Here is an 8428-nt window from a genome sequence, read left to right on the forward strand (position 1 = left end):
GGGGCAAGGAGGCAAGGAAGTTAGGCATTGAAAACAGAGAGCAAAGAAAGAGGGAGTTGAACAAGCGGAACCTTTGAAGAGAAACTCACTGTATCCAACAATTTCCCCCTCTTTCTTTTTATAATTCTTCCTGTTCAAACTTTTTAGCATGTTTTGACTCTGCTGTTCTGCTTGGTTTTCTTAAAGTGGGAGCTTATCTGAATCAGACGGGGGAGAATTAAAGGTTTTGGTGAGAGCTGTTTTTATAGTCTCTGCACTAATCCATGAAGACAAGGTATAATGCAGCATCCTGCAAGAATAACCTGTAACAACTGCAAGAGGTAAGGCTTAAGGTCTTTTTAATTGTTCCATCAGGGGCTGTGTTATTAGGGATGGAATAAGGACAGACTGGTTGGTAAGCTCTTGGAAGGGCTTAAGCTCCCTGCATCCCGTTAGGTCTCCAGCGAAGGCTAAATTTTCCCCCTGCCGTGAGAAACATGAGGTAAAATTGGCATCAGGAGACGGAGGCTGGATGGCCCTCGGGGGCTGACCTGCAGGGTGTCAGACTTCAGGGAATAGCAGAGAGAGAGAGAGAGCTGAGTAGAATTCATTACCCCAGGCTGTGGGGTCTTGGAAGAGAGCTACCATACAGCTCATGCCGGGTCGGCTGGAAGACCATCCGACTGGTCATTGGGTATGGAAGGGATAAAGGAGATTTAAGAGGGTTCAATTTTTCTTAGCTTTAGTTTGGTAGGACTCTCCCCCAGAACAATGGTCCATGGCTCTGGAGGTGGTGATGCCTTCTTGACTCGGGTATGATAAGTCCATCCTCTTTATGCTGAGGTCTCGGTGGTTAGAAGCACTAGGTAGGGTCCTTCCCAAGCCGGTTTGAGTTTTCCTTCTTTGCGACTTTTGATGAGGATGTTATCCCCAGGCTGATGCTGGTATGCTGGGAACTCTAGGGGTAGTGTCTGTGCTAAAAGACCTTTAGTTCTGAGGGAAGAGAAAGTGGTAGACCAAGTATGAATGTCAGCAGTGGATTGTAAATAGGGCAACCCATATAGCATCTCATAAGGAGCTATACCAACATATTTCTGAGGGGCAGTTTGGATTCTTAACAAGGCAATGGGAAGGCATTTGGTCCATGGCAACCGTGTGTCTAAGACTAATTTGGTCAAGTGGCTCTTCAAAGTTTGGTTCATTTTCTCCACTCTTCCTGATGAAGGTGGGTGCCAGGGAGTATGGTATTCCCATGTTATGTCTAGTGTTTGGGTTAATTTCTTAATGACATGCACAGTGAAATGAGTCCCATTATCTGAATCAATATTTTCTATTCGTCCAAATTTTTCCAAAGGTGTGAGCTACCCCGAAGGCATACTTGGAATCAGTATAAATAGCCCCTTTCTGGTTTTGCAAGTGTTTCAACGCCTGATTTAATGCAAATGATTCACAAGTTTGGGCAGACCAATTATTAGGCAATCTTCCTGACTCTATTTCTGAGAGAGCTTCCCCATAAACTACTGAATAACCTTTGTGTTTTTTCCCTTCAATTACCTGGGAAAAGCCATCTGAAATAAGTGCTGCCCTGTTTTGAAAGGGGTCTGTATTAAATCGGACCTTACTTTTGTGTGATAATCAATTAAATCTAAACACTGATGCTCAGGTCCTTTTAGATTTGGATTCCCTGTTAGGAAACCTGCTGGGTTAAGTGAATTATCAGTGGTTAGGGTTAAATCATCCCTTTCTAATAGGATAGCTTCATACTTTAAAATCCTTGAGCCACTGATACTTTTAAATCAGTGAGCCATCTTCCTGCTTTCTGGTTTAAAATAGTTCTAACTTGATGGGATGTGCTTACAACCAAATTTCCCCAAAGGTTAGCTGTCTGCTTTCTTCAGTTAACAAGGTGGTGGCTGCAATAGATGGACCACATTCGGGCCATCCACAGGTTATGGGGTCTAAAACCTTTGATAGGAAGGCTACAGGTTGCCGGTGGCCCCCATGTTCTTGGGTAAGTACCCCTAAAGTTACCCCCTTGTTTACATTATCTTGTCCCCCAGTCTGGAGTGCAATGGTGTGATCTTGGCTCACTGCAACCCCCACCTCCTGGGTTCAAGCAATTCTACTGTCTCAGCCTCCCTAGTAGCTGGGATTACAGGTGTGTACCACCATGCCCAGCTAATGTTTTGTATTATTTAAGTAGAGATGGGGTTTCACCATGTTGGCCAGGCTGGTTTCAAACTCCTGACCTCAGTTGATCCACCTGCCTTGGCCTCCTAAAGTGTTGGGATTACAGGCGTGAGTCACCATGCCCAGCCGACTGTGGGTCTTATTCTTAAAAATAAAATACATATATTATTTAGATTTATTTTATTTTATTTTTTTATTATTATACTTTATAGAGTTAATCTTTATATTAGTCCATGTGTCAATGGAGAGAGATTTGTGGTTTTTAAGTATATCATGTTTTAGTCAAAACATGTTATTTATCTACATATTAAATTTCTATAATATTTCTTTTTTTTAACCATGCACTCTTTCATTAATGAAAAATCATCTACCTGATTTGTACCCACTAGCAAGCTAACATCCATGCTTCTTTTTTTTAATTTTAATTTTAATTTTTCTTTTTAATTTAATTTATTTTATTTTATTATTATTATACTTTAAGATTTAGGGTACATGTGCACAATGTGCAGGTCAGTTACATATGTATACATGTGCCATGCTGGTGTGCTGCACCCATTAACTAGTCATTCAGCATTAGGTACATCTCCTAATGCTATCCCTCCCCCCTCCCCCCACCCCACAACAGTCCCCAGAGTGTGATGATCCCCTTCCTGTATCCATGTGTTCTCAATGTTCAATTTCCACCTATGAGTGAGAACATGCGGTGTTTGGTTTTTTGTCCTTGCGATAGTTTACTGAGAATGATGATTTCCAATTTCATCCATGTCCCTACAAAGGACATGAACTCATCATTTTGTATGGCTGCATAGTATTCCATGGTGTATATGTGCCACATTTTCTTAATCCAGTCTATCATTGTTGGACATTTGGGTTGGTTGCAAGTCTTTGCTATTGTGAATAGTGCCGCAATAAACATACGTGTGCATGTGTCTTTATAGCAGCATGATTTATAGTCCTTTGGGTGTATACCCAGTAATGGGATGGCTGGGTCAAATGGTATTTCTAGTTCTAGATACCTGAGGAATCGCCACACTGAGTTCCACAATGGTTGAACTAATTTTCACTCCCACCAACAGTGTAAAAGCATTCCTATTTCTCCACATCCTCTCCAGCACCTGTTGTTTCCTGACTTTTTAATGATTGCCATTCTAACTGGTGTGAGATGGTATCTCATTGTGGTTTTGATTTGCATTTCTCTGATGGCCAGTGATGATGAGCATTTTTTCATGTGTCTTTTGGCTGCATAAATGTCTTCTTTTGAGAAGTGTCTGTTCATGTCCTTCACCCACTTTTTGATGGGGTTGTTTGTTTTTTTCTTGTAAGTTTGTTTGAGTTCATTGTAGATTCTGGATATTAGCCCTTTGTCAGATGAGTAGGTTGCAAAAATTTTCTCCCATTCTGTAGGTTGCCTGTTCACTCTGATGGTAGTTTCTTTTGCTGTGCAGAAGCTCTTTAGTTTAATTAGATCCCATTTGTCAATTTTGTCTTTTGTTGCCATTGCTTTTGGTGTTTTAGACATGAAGTCTTGCCCATGCCTATGTCCTGAATGGTAATGCCTAGGTTTTCTTCTAGGGTTTTTATGCGTGTAGGTCTAACATTTAAGTCTTTAATCCATCTTGAATTAATGTTTGTGTAAGGTGTAAGGAAGGGATCCAGCTTCAGCTTTCTACATATGGCTAGCCAGTTTTCCTAGCACCATTTATTAAATAGGGAATCCTTTCCCCATTGCTTGTTTTTCTCAGGTTTGTCAAAGATCAGATAGTTGTAGATATGGGGCGTTATTTCTGAGGGCTCTGTTCTGTTCCATTGATCTATATCTCTGTTTTGGTACCAGTACCATGCTGTTTTGGTTACTGTAGCCTTGTAGTATAGTTTGAAGTCAGGTAGCGTGATGCCTCCAGCTTTGTTCTTTTGGCTTAGGATTGACTTGGCGAAGCGGGCTCTTTTCTGGTTCCATATGAACTTTAAAGTAGTTTTTTCCAATTCTGTGAAGAAAGTCATTGGTACCTTGATGGGTTTGGCATTGAATCTATAAATTACCTTGGGCAGTATGGCCATTTTCACGATATTGATTCTTCCTACCCATGAGCAAGGAATGTTCTTCAATTTGTTTGTATCCTCTTTTATTTCATTGAGCAGTGGTTTGTAGTTCTCCTTGAAGAGGTCCTTCACATCCCTTGTAAGTTGGATTCCTAGGTATTTTATTCTCTTTGAAGCAATTGTGAATGGGAGTCCACTCATGATTTGGCTCTCTGTTTGTCTGTTATTGGTGTATAAGAATGCTTGTGATTTTTGTACATTGATTTTGTATCCTGAGACTTTGCTGAAGTTGCTTATCAGCTTAAGGAGATTTTGGGCTGAGACAATGGGGTTTTCTAGATATACAATCATGTCATCTGCAAACAGGGACAATTTGACTTCCTCTTTTCCTAATTGAATACCCTTTATTTCCTTGTCCTGCCTGATTGCCCTGGCCAGAACTTCCAACACTATGTTGAATAGGAGTGGTGAGAGAGGGCATCCCTGTCTTGTGCCAGTTTTCAAAGGGAATGCTTCCAGTTTTTGCCCATTCAGTATGATATTGGCTGTGGGTTTGTCATAGATAGCTCTTATGATTTTGAGATAAGTCCCATCAATACCTAATTTATTGAGAATTTTTAGCATGAAGGGTTGTTAACTTTTGTCAAAGGCCTTTTCTGCATCTACTGAGATAATCATGTGGTTTTTGTCTTTGGTTCTGTTTATATGCTGGATTACATTTATTGATTTGCGTATATTGAAGCAGCCTTGCATCCCAGGGATGAAGCCCACTCGATCATGGTGGATAAGCTTTTTGATGTGCTGCTGGATTCAGTTTGCCAGTATTTTATTGAGGATTTTTGCATCAATGTTCATCAAGGATATTGGTCTAAAATTCTCTTTTTTGGTTGTGTCTCTGCCTGGCTTTGGTATCAGGATGATGCTGGCCTCATAAAATGAGTTAGGGAGGATTCCCTCCTTTTCTATTGATTGGAATAGTTTCAGAAGGAATGGTACCAGTTCCTCCTTGTACCTCTGGTAGAATTCGGCTGTGAATCAATCTGGTCCTGGACTCTTTTTGGTTGGTAAGCTATTGATTATTGCCACAATTTCAGAGCCTGTTATTGGTCTATTCAGAGATTCAACTTCTTCCTGGTTTAGTCTTGGGAGGGTGTATGTGTCGAGGAATTTATCCATTTCTTCTAGATTTTCTAGTTTATTTGCGTAGAGGTGTTTGTAGTACTCTCTGATGGTAGTTTGTATTTCTGTGGGATCGGTGGTGATGTCCCCTTTGTCATTTTTTTATTGCATCTATTTGATTCTTCTCTCTTTTTTTTTATTAGTCATGCTAGCAGTCTATCAATTTTGTTGATCCTTTCAAAAAACCAGCTCCTGGATTCGTTAATTTTTTGAAGGGTTTTTTGTGTCTCTATTTCCTTCAGTTGTGCTCTGGTTTTAGTTATTTCTTGCCTTCTGCTAGCTTTTGAATGTGTTTGCTCTTGCTTTTCTAGTTCTTTTAATTGTGATGTTAGGGTGTCAATTTTGGATCTTTCCTGCTTTCTCTTGTGGGCATTTAGTGCTATAAATTTCCCTCTACACACTGCTTTGAATGTGTCCCAGAGATTCTGGTATGTTGTGTCTTTGTTCTCGTTGGTTTCAAAGAACATCTTTATTTCTGCCTTCATTTCATTATGTACCCAGTAGTCATTCAGGAGCAGGTTGTTCAGTTTCCATGTAGTTGAGCAGTTTTGAGTGAGTTTCTTAACCCCAAGTTCTAGTTTGATTGCACTGTGGTCTGAGAGACAGTTTGTTATAATTTCTGTTCTTTTACATTTGCTGAGGAGAGCTTTACTTCCAACTATGTGGTCAATTTTGGAATAGGTGTGTTGTGGTGCTGAAAAAGTGTATATTCTGTTGATTTGGGGTGGAGAGTTCTGTAGATGTCTATTAGGTCCGCTTGGTGCAGAGCTGAGTTCAATTGCTGGGTATCCTTGTTGATTTTCTGTCTCGTTGATCTGTCTAATGTTGACAGTGGGGTGTTAAAGTCTCCCATTATTATTGTGTGGGAGTCTAAGTCTCTTTGTAGGTCACTCAGGACTTGCTTTATGAATCTGGGTGGTCCTGTATTGGGTGCTCGTGCATGGTGCGCTGCACCTACTGTCCTGCACTCCCTAGTGAGATGAACCTGGTACCTCAGAGGGAAATGCAGAAATCACCCGTCTTCTGCGTCGCTCGTGCTGGGAGCTGTAGACCGGAGCTGTTCCTATTCGGCCATCTTGGCTGCCACCCAATCGATTGCCCTAATTTTTAATGGATAAAAAGGATGCTCAGAAGAAAAACTTAGCTCCATAATTTTATAAGTGAGACAGTGCTGAAATAACATATTTCTTTATGATTCTATAATTCTTAACCTTTGAGTTTCCTACTTCTAGTCATGCTGTATTGATCACTCAACTACAGAATTTACCACAATCACATGCTTTATAAGGTACCAAGTAAAGTTTTGCCAAATTAATGAACTGGTTTTGTGGTGCTAGGGAAAAAACATATTCATCATGGCATGGGAGAATCAGACCTTCAACTCCGGCTTCATCCTCCTGGGAATCTTCAATCACAGCCCCACCCGCACCTTCCTCTTCTTTCTGGTCCTGTGCATCTTTTAGGTGGCCTTCATGGGAAACTCCCTCATGGTTCTCCTAATCTACCTGGATACCCAGCTCCATACCCCCATGTACTTCCTCCTCAGTCAACTGTCCCCCATGGACGTCAGGCTCATCTGCACCACCGTACCCAAGATGGCCTTCAACTACTTGTCTGGCAGCAAGTCCATTTCTATGGCTGGCTGTGCCACACAAATTTTCTTCTGTGTATCACTGCTTGGCTCTGAATGCTTTCTGTTGGCTGTTATGTCTTATGACTGCTACATTGCCATTTGCCACCCTCTAAGATACACCAATCTCATGAGACCCAAAATTTGTAGACTTATGACTGCCTTCTCCTGGATCCTGGGCTCTACAGATGGAATCATTTATGCTGTAGCCACATTTTCCTTCTCCTACTGTGGGTCTCGGGAAATAGCCCACTTCTTCTGTGAGTTACCTTCCCTACTAATCCTCTCATGCAATGACACATCAATATTTGAAAAGGTTATTTTCATTTGCTCTATAGTAATGCTTGTTTTCCCTGTTGCAATCATCATTGCTTCCTATGCTGGAGTTATTCTGGCTGTCATTCACATGGGATCTGGAGAGGGTCGTCGCAAAGCTTTCACGACCTGTTCCTCTCACCTCATGGTGGTGGGAATGTTCTATGGAGCAGGTTTGTTCATGTACATACAGCCCACATCTGATCGCTCCCCAACGCAGGACAAGCTGGTGTCTGTATTCTACACCATCCTCACTCCCATGCTGAATCCCCTCATCTACAGCCTCCGCAACAAGGAAGTGACCAGAGCATTCATGAAGATCTCAGGAAAGGGCAAGTCTGGAGAGAGAGTTACCTCATAAACTTTATGTTTTGATGTCTGCTAAATTATTCTTTCTAATATCCTTCTTTTTCTATAAAGTCCTAAAAATATCATTGATTGTGTGCATTGTTCAACATATTTATGGGCAGGTATATAATTTATTTCAGATAAACTATTTTAGATATGTTTATATTCAATTCAGTTGTGACTACAATATAAGGCATTGTAAATAAAGACATTAAATATTTTTTTAATTTTTAAATTATCTTTTTGGGAAACAAGTAGTGTTTGATTACATTAATAAGTTCTTTAGTGGTGATTTCTGAGATGTCGGTGCAGCCATCAACCAAGTAGTGTTCACTGTACCCAATATATAGTCTTTTTCCCTCTCCAGTCCCCAATATTTACTCCAAGTCCCCAAAGTCCAGTGTATCATTCTTATGCCTGGATGTCTCATAACTTAGCTGGCACATGTGAGTGAGAACGTATGATGTTTGGTTTTCCATTCCTGAGTGACTTCACTTTGTATGATAGTCTCCAATTCCAACCAGGTTGCTGCAAATGCTATTAATTCATTCCTTTTTATGGCTGAGTAGTATTCCATGGTGTGTGTATATATATATATATATATATATATACCAACTTTTATTTATCCACTCATTGAGTGATGGGCATTTAGGCTGCTTCCACATTGCTGCAATTGCAAATTGTGTTGCTATAAACATGCAACATGTAAGTATCTTTTTCATATAATGACTTCTTTTCTTCTGAGTA

General features: G+C 40.5%; 1 pseudogene across 1 annotated transcript; it reads left to right on the forward strand.

Annotated features, from left to right (window-relative positions):
* Positions 1 to 6743: 6743 nt before the first annotated feature.
* OR2M1P (olfactory receptor family 2 subfamily M member 1 pseudogene) lies at positions 6744 to 7682 on the forward strand (annotated as a pseudogene). Its single transcript, NR_002141.2, has one exon. The product of NR_002141.2 is annotated as an olfactory receptor family 2 subfamily M member 1 pseudogene (transcript).
* Positions 7683 to 8428: the final 746 nt, after the last annotated feature.

This window comes from Homo sapiens, chromosome 1 (assembly GCF_000001405.40).
Source record: "Homo sapiens chromosome 1, GRCh38.p14 Primary Assembly".
NCBI classification, from domain to species: Eukaryota; Metazoa; Chordata; class Mammalia; order Primates; family Hominidae; genus Homo; species Homo sapiens.